Source organism: Homo sapiens, chromosome 16 (genome assembly GCF_000001405.40).
Source record: "Homo sapiens chromosome 16, GRCh38.p14 Primary Assembly".
NCBI classification, from domain to species: Eukaryota; Metazoa; Chordata; class Mammalia; order Primates; family Hominidae; genus Homo; species Homo sapiens.
The window spans coordinates 84,701,419-84,720,219 of NC_000016.10; the positions used below are offsets into that span (position 1 = coordinate 84,701,419).

The 18,801-nt window shown below is 43.6% G+C and overlaps 1 protein-coding gene across 10 annotated transcripts in view, besides 2 other annotated features; it reads left to right on the forward strand.

Moving 5' to 3' along the window:
• Positions 1-18,801, forward strand: part of USP10 (ubiquitin specific peptidase 10) — a 79,923-nt gene that overhangs the window by 1,419 nt on the left and 59,703 nt on the right. For 2 of the 10 annotated variants that reach the window (XM_047434877.1, XM_017023868.2), the window contains exons 2-3: positions 14,433-14,534; positions 14,777-14,968. The exons of 6 other annotated variants lie outside the window; for them this stretch is intronic. Coding sequence is in view for 1 of the 4 variants with exons in the window: in NM_001272075.2 (NP_001259004.1) it covers positions 3,410-3,442 (33 nt within the window). In the remaining 3 variants the exon portion in view is untranslated. Of the gene's footprint in view, positions 1-3,321; positions 3,443-14,432; positions 14,535-14,776; positions 14,969-18,801 lie in introns of all 10 variants that reach the window. 2 more of the 10 variants (NM_001272075.2, XM_011523443.2) reach the window with 2 other exon arrangements.
• Positions 10,032-10,532: an enhancer, noted in NCBI's record as "H3K4me1 hESC enhancer chr16:84745056-84745556 (GRCh37/hg19 assembly coordinates)". NCBI's record gives its function as "activates a minimal SCP1, AML or CMV promoter by ChIP-STARR-seq in naive H9 embryonic stem cells {active_cell/tissue: H9 hESC(naive)}" and the evidence as "EXISTENCE:reporter gene assay evidence [ECO:0000049][PMID:30033119]".
• Positions 17,563-18,063: an enhancer, noted in NCBI's record as "H3K4me1 hESC enhancer chr16:84752587-84753087 (GRCh37/hg19 assembly coordinates)". NCBI's record gives its function as "activates a minimal SCP1, AML or CMV promoter by ChIP-STARR-seq in naive H9 embryonic stem cells {active_cell/tissue: H9 hESC(naive)}" and the evidence as "EXISTENCE:reporter gene assay evidence [ECO:0000049][PMID:30033119]".

An 18,801-nucleotide genomic window follows, 5' to 3' on the forward strand; every position in this document is an offset into this window, starting at 1 on the left:
GTATAGCCCAAAGATTTTAAGAGATTTGGTGTATTTAGCTTTGTTTAGACCTTTCTGTTAAAAAAAAAGATTTGATATTTGCTTTTTTCTCAACTTAAATCCTAATTAACTAGCTTATTAGAATTGGTATGAACAAGTAAAAGGCTCATTATGAATTAATGTGTAATATTCCTTGTGATTTTGACATGAAGAAAGCATCTTTAGGCATAGCTCACTTCCTTTATTTAATAAGCATCAATCACAATTCAAGGTTGATTGAAATGTTAATTAATGGGGATGGATAATATGTAAACTTAATTGTAATTTCGTTTGCATTCATTGTCCCAGTATTTACGTTTTATACAACAGTCTAAAGCGTTATACACATCTTTAGAAAATTGGAGTAGCAAAAGTTGGCGGAACGTAAATGTTAGCAACACTTTGGGTTTATTCTTTTAAAGTATGATTTAAATGCTTTTAAGTTTTAGCATGGAGAAAGTAGCAAAGGAAATAGTTTGATTTCTCATAATTTTCTTCTTCTTTTTTTTTTTTTTTTTGAGTTGGAATTTGGCTCTTGTTGCCCAGGCTGGAGTGCTGTGGTTATTAACCTATAAACTTTTTTATTTATTTTGAGATGGAGTTTCGCTCTTTTTTTTTTTTTTTTTTTTTTTTTTTTGAGACGGGAGTCTTGCTCTGTCGCCCAGGCTGGAGTGCAGTGGCATGATCTCGGCCCACTGCAACCTCTGCCTCCCGGGTTCAAGCGATTCTCCTGCCTCAGCCTCCCAAGTAGCTGGGATTACAGGCGCCCACCACCATGCCTGGCTAATTTTTTGTATTTTTATTAAAGACGGGTTTCACCATGTTGATCAGGCTGGTCTCAAACTCCTGAGCTCAGGTGATCCACCCGCCTCGGCCTCTCAAAGTGCTGGGATTATAGGCGTGAGCCACTACTGCGCCTGGCCGATTTCTCATAATTTTCATTTTAAAAGAATAGTAATGCAAACAAGTAATGGAATCATGTATGACAGGATTTAGTTACTGGTTCCTGCTCCAGTCATTCTGAGCGTTTTAATAAATTTGTTTTACTTGGTTGCCTACTGTCCTAAGAGTCTTGCAGCCTTAATGGCCATTCATTCATTCAGCAAATACTGATTGTTTATCAGATATTAAGCGTCATGGTATGTATATTACTTGTTTATGTTGGGAATAACAACTGCAAATTGAAGGTCTTATTTTAAAATTGACTTGTTAAAGTTAAATTTGTCACTGAGAATAATGGGAGGTGGAAAAAGTTACAGTTTAAAAATGTTTACAGGCCAGCGCGGTGGCTCGTGCCTGTAATCCCAGCACTTTGGGAGGCGCAGGTGGGTGGATCACTTGAGGTCAGGGGTTCGAGATCAGCCTGACCAATATAGTGAGACCCTGTCTCTACTAAAAATACAAAAATTAGCCGAGTGTGGTGAAGCTCGCCTGTAGTCCCAGGTACTTGGGAGGCTGAGGCAGGAGAATCGCTTGAACCCGGGAGGCGGAGGTTGCAGTGAGCCGAGATCATGCCACTGCACTCCAGCCTGGGCGACAGAGCAAGACTCCCGTCTCAAAAAAAAAAAAAAAAAAAAGAGCGAAACTCCATCTCAAAATAAATAAAAAAGTTTATAGGTTAATAACCTTATTTCCAAATATTAGAAAGTGTTGGTTGATCCCTGTTACCTGTATTGAAGTGTAATAGTGAAGAATTTGGAAACATTTTGAGACCGGTAACTCAGCATTTTAGCAAAGACAAATAAATGAACTTTAACAGTTGAAGTGTAGGTCCAAGTGAATATCCTTGTCACTGAGGGGACCGGTTAAATTATTTGGGGTAATTAATTTGAAGCTATTAGTTTTGCCTTACACCGAAAAAATATTTGTGATTATTGATGTCATTTATAGTGAAATCTCCACAATAATGCTTCCTACACCCAATTTGAATGTCATGCAGTTGGCTTCTGTCCTTGTCTCTGCATAGACTCACCCCAGTCTCTTTTTTAGCTTGTAATAGCAGATCCTCCACATTTTACATGATGGAAAGTCTTGGATTCCCCCTCTAGCATATGGCTGAATGTTACTGTATTGCTGAATATCTGTTTCTAGCCAACAGCTGGATTAGTGTTAATTCTTAAAAGAGATACATTTTTATTAGAATCTCAAGTAATGAGCAGCTGAAGTAAATACAATTGTTTGAAATGTTGACAGGGCATTTGGAGATAACAGTTTTCCTTTGCATAGTGACAGCAAGCTATTTAAACATGTCCTAAGAGTAGATGTTTTAAGTTTGTGAGCCAGTGGTCACCTTAGTGGTTTGTACAGATGGCCTGAGAAGTTTGTGAGCCAGTGGTCGCCTTAGTGGTTTGTACAGATGGCCTGAGCAGCCGCGCCGTACCAGGACCTCACCATCATGCTCTTGAGCCCATCTCATTGAGAGCACAGCGCACTGAAATTCCAGTGAATACTAAGCGGGCCTACCACATTCTAAATTCCTCACTAAAGCAAAAGTTAGGACATGTATTCCAGTGTTCTGTTACGTGGAACTGATAGGATTTAAGCAGTGATTCACATAGGAAAACTTAAAGGAGAAAAGGATTACGAAGCTTAATGATTGCTGTTTAATGCCAAGCCTAAGCGGCACGTTGCACTGTGCTGTGCTCAGAATATAACATTCAAGTAATTGAGAAAAGTGGTATCATCTCCAATTGAATTAGTTACATCAGGGTTTTTGTTTCGGTTTTTTGTTTGTTTGTTTGTTTTTAAAGATATAATTTCAGACATGTAGGTACTTCCTGTTAATGGTTCCTGGTATTCAGGTGGCACATTAAACGTGGTTGCTGAGGACACTTATTACTGGTACTATACCAAAATATGAAACGTAGTGGGAAGAGCTTGCTTTTGAATTTGTAATTAGGCTGTTACTTTTCTATTTACTGCCACACATGCAAGAATCACCATCGCACAAAACAGATAAATCTGTTTGCAATGGAATTTGCTGGCCTTGGGCCATTGGATTACTGTCATTTGTCACTTTAGTGCCACTTCAGCAGTGTAGATGTTCATTTCCAGAGACTTGTATGTGCTTGGACTGCAGTTTTCCTGTTTATTGAAGTGTTCTCCCAAAAGGTCTTTCTTTGACCATTTCTGTCAATACAGGCTGGATGAAGAATTAGTGTAGGAAAATAAAGGTAGCCCTTGGGGTATGTGTATAGTATTTGTTTCAAGGATCAGAAAATGTAGAATTTATCATAAACCTCGATGTAGAATCTTCAGATCCTAGATTTTTTCTGAACTGGCTATTTTCTGGCTATTTGAAAGCTCCTGGGCCATGATCCCATTTTCATCAGATGACTTGAGAACCCAGAAGCTCTACCAGCACTGCCATTCTGTCCCGTCTTGAAACATCATGCCCTGGTTGCCCTCTCCTGGAATAGGGCAGGTAAGGTGTTGAGATAGAAATGTGGTTTGGGGCTGTTACAGCCTGAATTCCTCGACTTTCCCTTTTGGGCTCACATGAGAATTGTTAGGAGAATGTGCATGTGGAGTGCGGGCCCAGCACCTGCTACCGTCTGCGCTGTAATGGTGGCTGCTCCTAAGAGTCCTCAGTCTCCTCCCCGTTGGGCTTGTGTGTACAGCCTTATCGGTTGTCATTCTTCGGATCCATTCTCAGTTTATTTTTCTGGTATTAGCTGGAGGGACATCTCCTTAAGCCTGTACTCTATGGCTCAGGAGTCTCAAAACCAGTCCATTTTGAAGTGAGAGTATCCCTAATAAAAAGGTGAGTGTCCCCACTCCTGTGCCTTGTTTTTTTTGTTTGTTTTTTTTTTTGAGACGGAGTCTCGCTCTGTCGCCCAGGCTGGAGTGCATTGGCGGTATCTTGTCTCACTGCAACTTCTGCCTCCCGGGTTCAAGTGATTCTCCTGCCTCAGCCTCCTGAGTAGCTGGGACTACAGGCACCCGCCACCATGCCCAGCTAATTGTTTGTATTTTTAGTAGAGACTGGGTTTCACCATGTTAGCCAGGATGGTCTCCATCTCCTGACCTCACGATCCGCCCACCTCGGCCTCCCAAAGTGCTGGGATTATAGGCGTGAGCCACCACACCCAGCCACTCCTGTGCCTTTTGAACCTGATTTTTACATCTAGCTGACTCCTCCCTCCGTCCCTTTCCCTCTTTCTTTCTTCCTGATCTGATGGTGCTAGATTTTTGTTTTCCCATTTGTCTTTGTTTTATGAAGATGTGCTCCTTTCCATTTGTGTATGTTGAGTACAGACATAATCATGCCCTTGCTTGCTTTTTTTTTTTTTTTTTTTTTTTTGAGACAGTCTTGCTCTGTTGCCCAGGCTGGAATGCAGTGGTGCGATCTGGGTTCACTGCAGCCTCTACCTCCCAGATTCAAGCGATTCTCCTGCCTCAGTCTCTCAAGTAGCTGGGATTACAGGTGCCTGCTACCACGCCCAGCTAATTTTTTTGTATTTTTAGTAGAAACGGGGTTTCACCATGTTAGTCAGGCTGGTGTGGAACTCCTCACCTCAGGTGATCCACCTACCTTGGCCTCCCAAAGTGCTGGGATTACAGGCATGAGCCACTGCCCCCAGCATCCCTACTCATTCTTTGAAAAAAACAATTTGTTGTTGTTTTGTAGAGACAGGGATTTGCTGTGTTTCCCAGGCTGGTCTTGAACTCCTGGCCTCAAGGGATCCCTTCTGCTTCAGCTTCCTAAAGTACTGGGATTACAGGTGTGAGCCACCGCGCCTAGCCTCCCTATTCATTCTGCAAGTATCAGTCTTTTTACTTTTGATAGGACATGTTGAAGTTTTGGTTAAAAATAGAAGAGGATTTGAAAATGAAGTTCAATTCTAGAGGTTTTCGAGATTCCTGCCCAATATAAAAAACTTCTGATACATTAAAACAATTTTTTTATACTTCATTTTTTAGAGCAGTTTTAGGTTCACAGCAAAATTGAGAGAAAAGTACAAAGAGTTCCTATATACCCCTTCTCTTGGTATTTTAAGTAATAATTTCCCTTACGTGGCTGCAAAGACTATATATATATTTATATGTATTTATTTGTATATGTATTTATATTTATTTATATTTTTATATTTATATATATTTTTATATATATATATTTTTTGAGACGAAGTCTTCCTCTGTCACCCAGGCTGGAGTGCAGTGGCGCAATCTCGGCTCACTGCAAGCTCCGCCTCCCGGGTTCACGCCATTCTCCTGCCTCAGCCTCCGGAGTAGCTGGGAATACAGGTGTGCGCCACCACGCCCAGCTAATTTTTTGTATTTTTAGTAGAGACGGGGTTTCACGGTGTTAGCCAGGATGGTCTCCATCTCCTGACCTCGGGATCTGCCCACCTCGGCCTCCCAGAGTGCTGGGATTACAGGCGTGAGCCACCGCGCCGGGCCAAGACTATATATATATTTATTCAAGACCTGAAGTAGGCTTTCTGGGTAGATCTGATCATTGGAGAAGGAGAAACATATTTATTACGAGATACTAAGCATTGTAGTAGTCATCATTTGAAGCCTATAAACTCTATAAACTGCATAGTTTAGAAAGTGCCTTAGCTTGTTTGAGCCTTTACAGCAACTCTGTCCTGTATTATTATAACCATTTTACAGATGAGTAAGATAAGACCCAGAGAGGTTGTGGCTTGAGGTCAAATGGCTGCTGGCCATCAGGACCTTTTAAAAGCAGGTGTTTTGACTTCTAAATCCTTTGCTTTTTCTACTTTGCCAGACTGGTTTTCTGGAAGAGACTGATGAAGGCATAATCTTTCACACTGTGACTTCCCCTTAGTAGTTCCTCCATAAACATTTACAGAATGAATGAATGAAATGTGCATTTAGAAACTTTAATGTTACTAATTACAAAATTTGTTACTATAATATGTTACTATTCACTAAAGTTTGTGTGGGGTACATTTTAATAAAGTCGTTTATTTTATTTTCTAGTATAAAGACATGCTATTTTTAAGACACGAAAACAGCACAGACGTATTTAAAGTGAAAAGTAGAAGTCATTCCCTTCCTCTCTGATCCTTAATCGTCAGTTTGGTGTGTGTCTTCTATGCTTTTTTCCACTGGAGTATTTTGTTGTTGTTGTTCCGTTGTTTCATAATATGGTCTGTTGTATCTAGTCACTGAACTTTATTGAGCAAACCTTGTTTTCAAAATTATTGAAAACATCCACTGAAGTCAGTTTTCTTAGGTTTACCTAATTTTGCCAGGGAATGAAGCAGATATTCTGGAGATTGAAGTGACTTATCAGGATCCAGTGTGCAGGGGATTGTGGAAGTGCTGCCACAACTTATAACATGTTGTCCAAACAATTTTTTTTTTTCTTAAGAAATATTTTGGGCCAGGTGCAGTGAGTGACTCACGCCTGTAATCCCAGCACTTTGGGAGGCTGAGGCAGGCGAATCACTCAAGCTCAGGAGTTTGGGACCAGCCTGGGCAACGTAGCAAAACTCTTTCTCTACAAAAATACAAAAATTCACTGGGCATGGTGGTGCTCTCCTGTAGTCCCACCTACTTGGGAGGTTGAGGTGGGAGGATCGCTTGAACCTGGGAGGTGGACATTGTAGTGAGTCGAGATTGTGCCACTGCACTTCAGCTTGGGTGACAGAGCGAGACTCTTACGTCAAAAAAGAAAAGATAAGAAATATTTTGAAGACTTCCACCCCCTTAGTAGTAGTCATGCTGTCCGGTGTTCATAGTGTAAAAAGAGGTCTGGCTGGGCGTGGTGGCTCACGCGTGTAATCCCAGCACTTTGGGAGGTCGAGGTGGGTGGATCACCTGAGGTCAGGAGTTTGAGACCATCCTGGCCAACATGGTAAAACCTCATCTCTGCTAAAAATACAAAAATTAGCCGAGTGTGGTGGCGGGCACCTTTAATCCCAGCTGCTCCGAAGGCTGAGGCAGGAGAATAGCTTGAACCCGTGGGGGCAGAGGTTGCTGTGAGACAAGATCACGCCACTTCACTCCAGCCTGGACGAAAGAGTGAAACTCCATCTCAAAAAACAAAAAAGGAGGTCTGATTCACATTCAGATTCTTGTCCATCCATTGCCTTTGCACTAGATTTATGAGAGGACAAACTTTTTATTAGTTGGAGATTGGTAAGTCACCTGCCCTAGGGAATAATGAGAAACTGGGTAATTCACCTGAATTTTTCTCCATCTTCTTCAAAATCATGTTTTTGTCTTCTGTCACTTTGTTTCATCAGAGTACTGCAATGGCAAAAAACAAAACACTTCCCAACTCAGGTCCCACTCCTGAGAGATAACCACATTTAAGTACTTCTGACTTGTAATAGAATGCAAAATCGGGGCTTCCAAGTGTGGTTTACTATTTTGTTTAGAATTAATTTGTAGAATACTAGACACTTTTTTCAGAACCACATATGAAGGACTTTATATCTTTTGTGATTGTTCACAGATTTTGGTGGCCGGACGTTAGGAGTATAGAGCTGAAGAGAGAATTCCTGTGCTTTAGAGGTTCGCTGGGTAGTGAGGGAGAGAAGCAGGCTAATGGCTGGGTGCATCCAGTTTTAGGGTGGTAATTCCTGTAACACAAGTGTGAACAACATAGTCAAGAACATTCATTCATTCGTTTGTTCATTCATTCAGCAAATAGTTACCGAGTGGCTGCTGTGTACCAGGCACTGAGGAGGGAGTGATGAGCGAAAACAGGCATTGTTTCTCTCGCGGAGGAGTTTATGGGTCCATTGAGGAAGACAGCTTGCTAATCAGATAATCACAGTTACGTACACGTCACTCCAAACTGAGAGATGTTTCCCAAAGGAAGGGAACACAATCTGAAGTCAGAGAACCGTTCCCGTGGAAGTGACGTGTTTACAGCATGAGACAGTGGGGACAGCATGTGTGGTGGACCTTTGGCTGGAGGGAATTTGGAGCACTTTGGAGAACTCAGCAAGGAGTTGTGTGTCTTGGGCACAGAGCTGGAGGGGAGGGACAGACGCACCATCCAACCTTGCAGCCTTTGTTAGATGTTACTGTCTTTATTCTGAGAAAAGTGTGGAAGAGGGGGTGGTACAACATTTGACCATGGAACCTCATAATCACATTGCCTTTTGGGATCATACTCTGCCCAGTGAAGAATAGACTCACGGGGTCGCAGTGGCCATAAGGAGATCATTTAGGGCAGGGTCCTTGGACTTTTGACTCGGAGGGTGCCGTGGAGGTGGAGAGAAGTTGCGTGACTCAGGAGTTAGGTATAAGGTGTTTCAAAAAAGGAGGAGAGTGGGACTGAATGTTGGGCAAAGCTGGGAAGACGTCTCTTGTAGAACGGTGACATTTGAGCTGGAGTTTTTCAGGCAGAGAAGCACACGGACAAGGGCATGTGGAGGAGACTGTGCAGAGGAACTGTCTCAAAGCCTGCAGCCTGTTTGGGAAACAGATAAATTTGTGGCTGAAATGGTGTGTAGGGTGAAGTGGTTAGCCGGGAGTCTGGAGAGGAGAGAGAAAGAATTTGGTAATCCAAGCTCAGGACTGAGTGAAGTTGGTAGCAACTCTGTGTTAAGATAGCTGGTTGAGGCCGGGTGCGAGGCTCACGCCTGTAATCCCAGCACTTTGGGAGACCGAAGTAGACGGATCACTTGAGGTAAGGAGTTTGAGACCAGTCTGGCCAACATGCTGAAACCCCATCTCTACTAAAAATACAAAAATTAGCCGGGCGTGGTGGCGCATGTCTGTAATCCCAGCTACTTGAGAGGCTTAGGCAAGAGAATCGCTTGAACCCGGGAGGCAGAGGTTGCAGTGAGCCAGACTGTGCCACTGCACTCTAGCCTGGGCAACAGAGCAGACTCCATCTCGGAAAAAAAAAAAAAAAAAAGATTGCTGGGTTGAGTTGATTGTGCAGGGGTCTTACTTAGATGCTTCGAAAGTTGTCAGGGATTTGATTCTTTAGGCTCTCCTCCATAGCTGGGACTCTACTCTCTGCTCATTTTGGCATCTTAAGCCTCATAACTTTGAGGGGAAAGAAGTAGGGCATTTCTTTTGGGGACTTTTGAGACAGATTAATGTGAGGCAGGTAGCCCTTCAGTGTCCTCAGTGGTAATTGGATAGAGTAGTTAGGGAAGGTCATTTAGGGACATATTCCCTTTATTTTGAGGGGGAGGCACCTTTAAAAACAAGCATCTGTCCCTTGATTATATTCGTAGAAAATATTAAGGAAAACTTAGGTGACTTGTTACCTTATTTTAAATGTTTCCTGTAGTACTTTTGGTAGTAAACTTTAGAAATTTGGAATCATTGGATTTAACAGCGTTTTTAGGTTTGTGATCCTCGAGTGCCCTCTTCTAATACCAGAATCACCTGGCACCCTGGGTGCCACCAAGAGACACTGAGTAAGGATCCCTGTGAGCAGGTCCCCAGGCCGTCTGAGCCAGGCTCAGGTTGCAGGTCGTCCGCATGGGTTTGTGTACAGCTTTTTTTGTTTTAACTTGTTGAGCCCTTTCGCATGAATAGCAATAACGAAATCGTATTTTGGACAAAGTGTTACATCTCCAGTCTAGGTTAGGCGTGAACAACAACAAAAATATGAATTGTGCCCCTCCCTCTGAGTGTGATACTCACTTATTTTAGCGCCGAGTGGAATGGTGGAACAGTTGTGAGCAGATGAGAAACCTGACATTTTGCCACTTTGAAGAGCTGTCATGTCGTGTCTTCAGAACGAGATTTCAGTTTGGCTTGGCATTCATTAAGTCCATGATTATGCCTTTTAAGCAAGCATTTACCCAGTACTTGCTCTGTGCCAGGGCCCGTGTTGGGATTTATAAGTTGCAAAAAAACATGTTTTTAAAAATGTAAGTACACATGTGTTCCCCAGAACCTTAAGAGCTGCTCTGGCTGTTGCTCTGCACCCCACATCTTGAAATAGGACCTTTGTGGACAGCATGGGATCAGCACACTCCCCCACAGCTCAGTGTAACTGTGAGCATCTGATGTCCCAGAGAACTGGAACTTTATAATTCATCCTGAAGCCTGGTTGTCAACATCTCTGAGGATGTGTGCATAGCATTAAGCCAATTTACCATCGGGAATTCCTGCTCTCTTTTGCTGTTGTTGCTCATGGATTCGTCAGGTGAGGAAATTCTAGTCTCTAGTTTTTCCCAAACTGGTGCTGAAATAATTACGCTTGGTTCTCTGTTGCTTCTTACCTCTTTGCTCTTCTGTGCCACAACAATGTATTCTAAGTTAGGTGCCAGCAGCAGAAACTTTTCTTCCACCTATAACTAGAGTTTTAGGCGTGAGGAAGGGCTAGCTTTTTTTTTTTTTTTTTTTTTTGTCTGAGATGGAGTCTTGTTCTGTCACCCAGGCAGTGGCAAGATCTCAGCTCACTGCAACCTCTGCCTCCGGGGCTCAAGTGATTCTCTGGCCTCAGCCTCCTGAGTAGCTGGGATTACAGGTGCGTGCCACCATGGCTGGCTAATTTTTGTATTTTTAGCAGAGACGGGGTTTCACCATGTTGGCCAGGCTGGTCTTGAACTCTTGACCTGAAGTGATCCGCCTGCCTCAGCCTCCCAATGTACTGGGGTTACAGGCATGAGCCACCGCGCCCGGTGGCTTTTGCTTTTTAAGGTGGACAGAAACACCTTGCAGCTGTGCTTCGTTGCCCTTGCTGCTTTTGGGTGGAAACATAGACTTAAGTTAGCATATTCATCAGTTGATCTCTTTTCTGTGAGAAGGGAAAGAAATCGCAGTATTTTGTGTGTATGGCAGGCTTTGAGGGCCCTTATACTTTGATTCTGTAGATGCCCTGTCCTTCCTCAGGAGGCAGTCAGCTGTGTACAGAGGCCCTTGTGGTCCTGTCCTGAGAGTAGCGGAAGGAAGACATGGCTCTGCCTGGGGAGACTGTGCCTTATGCAGAGGCCAACACCACATGGATGAGCCGGAAGCAGCCGCTGGCCTGGCTGCTCTTTCGGGTCAGGAAGGCTTTCTTGAGTCTGGTATGGTCTGGCTGCCCCAGTGTCCCCACTGCCTAGCACAGTGGGCACTCAGGTGTTTGTCTGTTGGATCGGTTAATTGGCAGGGACCAGTTGAAGCAAACAGAGAACAGCTGGTTGTCATTCACTGTTTTCAGGACTGCTTATGGTTGTTTTTGGTGTTTCTATAATAGTTCTAGGCATGAAGTTCAGGACCACAGCATGCAAGACCCCGAGGGGCAGATTTGCCGTCTATAGAAATAGTAATGAGAGCTGATGAAGAAGAGGTGGCTGCTTCCCACAGTATCACCTTGATTGTCATTTCTGCATTTAGAATGCATGAGTGACCCCTAAGCTGCTCTTCAGGTTCTTCAGTGCTCTCTTTACCTCTGTTGTGTAGTTTCTTGAATCCAGGTGACTGACCCGCACGTCACATATAAGTTATTTGGTTTTATTCCTTGGTCTCTTTCTCAGCAAGTGTAGTCTGGAGATGATAGGACACTTAGCAATGCAGAGAGAATGCCTTCACCAGAGTTACCAGCAAGTGCTTGGCTGTGGGGGCTCCGTGTACTAAAGCTCTTCCAGGATTGTTAGTGGGCATGCCAGTGATCTATCTTCGCAGGCCTGCTTACAGCAAATGCAGCTGTCCCCCAAATGCAAGAACCATGGAGCAGCCAGCCTTTCCAGTACAGGGCCCAATTATGTGTCACCAGTGAACATGGAAAGAGCTTTTCGGTTGGTTTGCCACAGTTAGTTTATCTTTCCCCCACCTTTGTGACCTTAGATATCTCAGCCAATGCCACCATTCACCCACTAGTTATTTATTGAACTCAGCTATGTGCCAGGCATTGTTGGTACAGAAATGGAGGGGAACACATTGTCTGTCCCCGAGACCCTCTGTCTGTAGACAGGCTCGCCCCCTTTGTCCCTGTGGTTTGCTCCCCTACTTTCAGTGAGTCTCTGTGCCTGGGCCATCTTCTTACACCCACTTTACCCACCTTTAAAATTGCGCCCTCCTTCACACTTGTCACCCTGTCTGCTTGCTCCCTCTCCAGAGCACTTCACACCTAATACCCTACATACCCGCTATCCTGACGTGTGTGTCTGGTTCACTCTCTCGTCCTCCCCCAATGTAAGCTCCTTGAGGCCCCAATGTAAGCTCCGTGAGGGCAGGGGTTTTTGTTTGCTTTGTTCACTGCTGGGGCCCCTAGTCCTAGAATGTGGTGAGTGCTCAGTAAATATTTATTAACAAACACCTTCATGAAAGACATACCACAGTGGACATATTCAGAAGCCCACAGTCAGGTGTGGGAAAGAAGCTAGAGAATCAACTGTTAGGATCCAGAATTAGAGAGACCATCACAGGAGAGTCCCCGGGGACACCTTGGCTCATGTTTGTGAGGAAAATAGTTCACAAAGATGAGCCTTTGGAACTGAGTTCTATAGTTTGCAGAGTCAGCCAGGCCAGCAGGGTCCCAAGAGAAGGGCGCCCAAAGCAGAAAGACCTGGCGTGTGCCGTGTCGCTGAAGTGCATTTGGGACGTGGAGAGTTGTCGGGGCTGCAGCACTGGGGGTTGGCTGGGAAGGTGGATGGGTGCGTCTTGTAGGCTCTGCTAGAGCCTTTTAGCCTGAAAAGTTCTGGGAGACTAGAAAGGCTTTTCCTGGGCACCAGAATAGTAAGGTTCAGTTGAGAGACAGCTCTGTGGTGGCCACATGCAGTTTGGAGGGTGAGGGGTGAGCACAGAGGCGGAGGTAGATTGTTGCAGAGACCCAGTTGAGAAGCGTGGAGGGCTTGAACAGTGCCTAGAGGAGGGGCAGGCCTTAGGGTGGCGGGAGGTGGGTGGCTGGCGGGAGCCAGCTCGTTGTGGTTTGTTCATGGTATAGTAGTTTCTTCCTTAAAATGTGGAATGACACTTGTTTAGTAAAATGTTTTTCCCACTTCTTCCTCTTTTTTAGAGATGGGGTCTGGCTCTGGCATCCAGGCTGGAGTGAGTGGCACAATCGTAGCTCACTCCCTGCACCATCTAACTCCTAGGCTTAGGCCATCCTCCCTCTTTAGCCTCCCAAAATGCTGGGGCTACAGACGTGCGCCACCGTGCACGGCTTTGCATTTCTTATATTGTTGAATGTTTTTCCATTAAATATTTTCCTTTGCGATTGTTTTTTTTTTTAGATCTCAAGAGCCTTAACTTAATCTTCAGCATTGTTTTTTAAGGACTGCAGCGTATTCACAAGTTATAGTTTATGCATACTAAAAATGGTAATGTTTGGCAGGTTTTTTTGGTCCAATTTTTAGTTGTTACTTGTGAATTTATCTTATTTCCTAGAGCAAATTAAGCACATTATTGTAAACTGGAAGATGAACGTCCTTAATTCATTGATTATTTTTGGGGTGAAGGGAGAGAGATATTTTGCTAAGGGATATTAAGAAGATACTTAGTGGATATTTAAAACATGAATTTTTTTAAATTTTAAAAGTAATATCAAAAACAAGTTCTACATATGAAATGTTTGAAAAATATTTAAAAAGTTCTGATTATTATTATTATTATTATTATTTTTTTTTTTTGAGATGGAGTCTTGCTCTGTCGCCCAGGCTGGAGTGCAGTTCGCAGTCTCGGCTCACTGCAACCTCTGCCTCTTGTGCTAAAGCGATTCTCCTGCCTCAGCCTCCTGAGTAGCTGGGACTACAGGCATGCACCACCATGCCTAGCTACTTTTTATATTTTTTAGTAGAGATGGGGTTTCACCATATTGGCCGGTCTGGTCTCGACCTCCTGACCTCAAGTGATCTGCCCGCCTAGGCCTCCCAAAGTGCTTGGATTACAGGCGTGAGGCACCACTCCCGGCCCATTTATAAAATATCAATAAGCTGACTTATGTTTGGTGAAGGCCAACTATTTCAGCTATTGCTGTAGATATCCAGGAAGATAACCAAAGCATCCTTACCTTTGTGTATAATGGATAGCTAAGGCATAAGAAACAACTGGGCACGTTACAAGATGTGTAATTAAGTGCTGAATTATGTGGTGCATGTGGCAGGTTCTTTTGTAGTAATTCAGAGAATGAAGATGGGTAATGAGCTAGTCTTGAGAAGGAATAGGATCTCCGCCTCCCAAAGTGCTGGGATTACAGGCATGAGCCAGTGAGTCCACCTGGGTGACCTTACTACTTTATATGAATCCTCTGGTCACTGCTGCCCAACTATCCTTTTATCTCCCTTTTTGCTTACCCCATTTATGTGTTAGGGTGCCCTCCCTTTTTTTTTTAAAAAAACAAACAAGTAGAGCTCAGCTTTCTAACTGGCTTACACCATAAACTAGAGATTTAGTGGCTCATGTAACTAGAAATTCCAGAGGTAGATCAGGCTTCAAAGTTGGTTTAATTCAGCCGTTTAGTTACAGTTTTGAGGACGTGGCTTCTTTTCATTTTTTCACTTTTCATTTCTTCATCTTTTCATTCTGCCTGTCAGTATTATCCCAGGGCTAGTTTCCCCCACGATGGCGGAATGGCCACAGCAGTTTCAGGCTTCACATTTGGGCACAGCCTCCGTCACACCAGCCTGACCAAGAGAGTGAGTGTGCATCCCAGAATTTTAGGCAGTGTCCTGAGCTTCTTGCCCTTTGGGTCGTCCCTCAACCAGAGCACTGTGGCGAGGAGGGTGGTATGCCAAGCAGGGCTCCCATCTGGCCTGGGGGTGGGGGTGTGTTGACTTCTGAACTGGGTGACTACTATCCCACAGGGTAGGAAGGGGAGCTGGCCAGTTCGCTACTGTCCCACATGAGCGTAATGTCTCTCCCCCCTCTCCTTTTCCAGATATGCCAGTTCCTCCTGGACTCCTCAGACTGGAAGATTGTCCTTTCTCCTTGGCAAATCATCTGTACTATCTGATTGCATCTTACAGTCTTCTTTAAATATTATTGTTCCTTAACTGTTAATGTGTCTGTGCCTTGAGGTCAGCCTCAGGTTCCAATCCTGTTCCATTTTGTTTGTGGAATCTCAGGCAAGGTTGGTTTCTCTGAACTTTTAAAGTTTTTTCATCTTCATTCAGCAAATCTTTATTAGATTCTCAGTATTGTGCTTCAGTGGACGAAATACAGACTGACACAAGGAGATAACAGTTCATTCACAGAGACATAGGTAAATGAGAATTACTATGAAATATGAACAGTGCTTTGGCAGAAATAGGGTTTAGAAACACTTCCTGAGGAGGTGATGCCTGCGTTGAGCTTTGAAGGACAAGTAGGACTTCTTCAGAGCATGGGGGAAGAGGGAGCTGCCTGCACGAAGGCTGATCAGCAGAATAATGAATAAATGCAGAGTTACTGGGATCTTAGGTGCACGACCTTCGGCAAGGTTGGTAGGCAGAGACGCCCATTACACCAAGTTGAAGAGTGAAGATTCTACCTTTATATACACCTTACAATTACATGGGGAGTGACCGCATGTCCTGGTCTAAACTTATCCCAGCATAATTCATCATAATGATCCTTTCACTCTGAGATATGCCTCTAATTTGGATGATAAATGGTTACGCAACTTAAAATAGAAGTCCAGAGCCATAGGGACAGTCACTGTGATAGCAGTGTGCTTGCTTCATAGTAGAGCTTCGGGATTACATGAGATAGAGCATAGCAGTGCTTCTCAAACTTAAAAGTCCGTTGAGAATCAGCTGCGGGTCTTGTGAATGTGCACATTTAGATTCAGTACACCTGGGGTGGGCCCTGTGCGCTGTCTGAGCTCCTAGGTAATTCCTAGGCTGCTGGCCTGGTGACCTCACTTTGAGTAGCAGGTCGTATTGGGCTTCGGGAGCTTCAGAGGGTCTGTGAAGTTCTGAAATCATACGCAGAAATGTGTGTACATGCATTCTTTAGGGGGTGGGCCTAATTCCCTTACATCAGTTTCTCGGGAGGTCTGCTGCCACCCAAAAAAGATTAGGAATCCTCCCTTTTAGAAATTTTGTGCAGATTAAATGAAATATGTTGATTAAATGCCTTTAACATTGTCTAGAGCATAATGGACATTCAGTACACACTAGCTGTATGTCCTCCTTCCCTGACCCCAGTTCTTTGAAGGCAGGACACATTGCTTAAACATTTTAAACTGCTTTTTAATGTCCTTTTTATGTCATTGGTGCTCAATAAGTGTCGATTTAGCTTGGTGACAAGCTGTTTGGTGACTGTGAGCCATTCTGTCAGCATTTGCTAGTCTCTTAGGTGCCAAGCATTTTACTAGGTAGGTAGGAGGAGGCCACTACCTAGGTTATTGCAGATACCCAGGCATAGGTGGAGTCATCAGGGCCTGTGCTGGATAGTAACTGTAGAGTTGAAGAGGAGATGCATCACTTCTTAGTAATCTTCCTGAGTTATGTGTGTTCAGGAAAGTGCTTCTACTGCCTTTGATTCATTGAGGTCCTAGTCTCTGGTCCTCAGGTGTATGTGATTTCAGTACGGATTAATTTACTGTAATGCTTAATTTAATTCATTCAGTTGCTATTCTTGCCAAATGCAGTTTTTCTGAACATTTTGATATTTTGTTGAGATGGTCCCAGAAATTTGGGATTCGTGATCACGTTAGGGTATTTGTGATGGAAAGGGTATATAATTTATGGTATTTTCAAAGTTCCTTACCTAAGAGATTGGAAGAACAATGATGAGAGAGAGATTGGGAGATTACTTGTCTTATAGAGTTGTAGATGCTTCAGAGAACTTGACTACATTGCGAAGGGAAAATCTTGGATTGGAAGGTTATTTTTGAGAAAGTGGAGTGTTGGTAGTGAAAGTTAGATTTCAGTGAATTAAAAGCAAATGAGAGATGAGTTTAATTACAAAAGAAATGTCTTTTGTTCAGAAGACATTTCTGAAGAGTTGCTTGTGAGTTCATTTATTTTATTGAGACAGGATTGTACTCTGTGACCCAAGATAGAGTGCAGTGGTGCAATCATGGCTCACTGCAGCCTCAAAGTTATTGGCTCAAGGGATCCTCCCACCTCAGCCTCCTGAGGAGCTGGGACTGCAAGTGTGGGCCACTGTGTTTGGCAGGAGTTTAATTTTTCTGTCATATTACTTCTAATTTAGTTGCATTATAGTTTTTCTTCTGGCCGGGTGCGGTGGCTCACGCCTGTAATCCCAGCACTTTGGGAGGCCAAGGCGGGTGGATCACCTGTCAGGAGTTCAAGACCATCCTGGCCAACATGGTAAAACCCTGTCCCTACTGAAAATACAAAAATTAGCCCAGACATCGTGGCACATGCCTGTAATACCAGCTACTCGGAGGCTGAGGCAGGAGAATTGCTTGAACCCAGGAGTCGGAGGTTGCAGTGAACTGAGATTGCGCCACTGCACTCCAGGTTGGGCAACAGAGCAAGACTGTCTGACAAAAAAACAAAAAAAAAGTTTTTCTTCTTTTAGTTTTGTTGTTGTTGTTGTTTTTGAGAAGGAGTCTTTCTCTGTCACCCAGGCTGGAGTGCAGTGGTGCAGTCTCAGCTCACTGCAACCTCCACCTCCTGGGTTCAAGCGATTCTCCTGCCTTAGCCTCCCGAGTAGCTGAGATTACAGGCGCCCGCCACCGCACCCAGCTAATTTTCGTATTTTAGTAGAGACAGGGTTTCACTATGTAGGTCAAGCTGGTCTCGAACTCCTGACCTCAAATGATCCACCCGTCTCGGCCTCCCAAAGTGCTGGGATTACAGGCATGAGCCACCGCGCCCGGCCAGTTTAGTTGTTGTTGTTGTTGTTGTTTTTGCCTTTATTAACTTGTTAATGATCAGTAAACCCTTAAAAGCACTAAAAGAGTTCCCATTTTAAAGACATCTGGATGTTGTTCATCAACTTTATATAGTGAGTAATTATCTCAAATTATTTTATAATTTCTTTTTTAACTGGGAGGCATAACTGAATGGAGAAGTAGCTCCCCTCATCCTCCTGTTTTCTGCTTAGTTTCTCCCACCTCCTCAGTTGCCTGTAGTGATGGAGCTTTTACTTGGATCACGGGAATGCCCCTACACAGTGATTCTAAACTCCAACTGTAAGTCAGAATCACACAGGAAGTGTTTAAAATGCTAAATGAGGCCTGGACTCCACCCTAGACCACTGAAGCCAGAATTGTTGCAGGTGTGGCCTGAGGATGCTCTGATTCTAAGGTGTGGCCAGGTTCGAGGACTGTTGTCTTAGGCCTTTGTCCAATATGGTTTATGCTGCTCCCCTGCTAGGTGAGTACCACCGCGGATTGGTTACCTGCTTTTATGTGGAAAATAGAATATAGGAAGCCGATTGGGTGGAAAACATCTCTTCTAGTGTATGTAGGTCCCATAAGGGGGACTTTGAAGTCTGGAGTTAACAGTTTTCTAATAAAAGATTTCAGACCATATCCAGGAACTTAAATACATAATTAAAGAGTGGAATGCAAATTATTAGGATTTTTGCTGGTAAAGCAAGCTATACTTGCATAATTTAAATCTTTGGAGGGCATGTTTCGACAGATCATTAGGTGAAGGTTAAACTGAGACAGCAAACAGTGGATTCCTTCCTTAGCTAGTATACCACTTTTTGCATTCTTTTATTTTCAACAGATAGTAATTTTGCAGCTTTTTACTTCTTCAACCAAACCTTCTAAGTAACTTTGCTTTCCATTAACAACAAAGCCGCTCATTAAGGTGGAAGTTCTGTGCTTGATCTTAACACCGGAAGGAGAGGAGTCTATTTACCAGCTAATGTAAGTACTTCTTATTAGACAGTCCTAGATTTTCTAGGAGATTTGAAGAGTCTGCTGACAGTGGCCAGCAAATCAGAGGAAAATCATTTCTGTAGCTAGGTTCTTTTTTCATGGATGTCCTTTAAGAG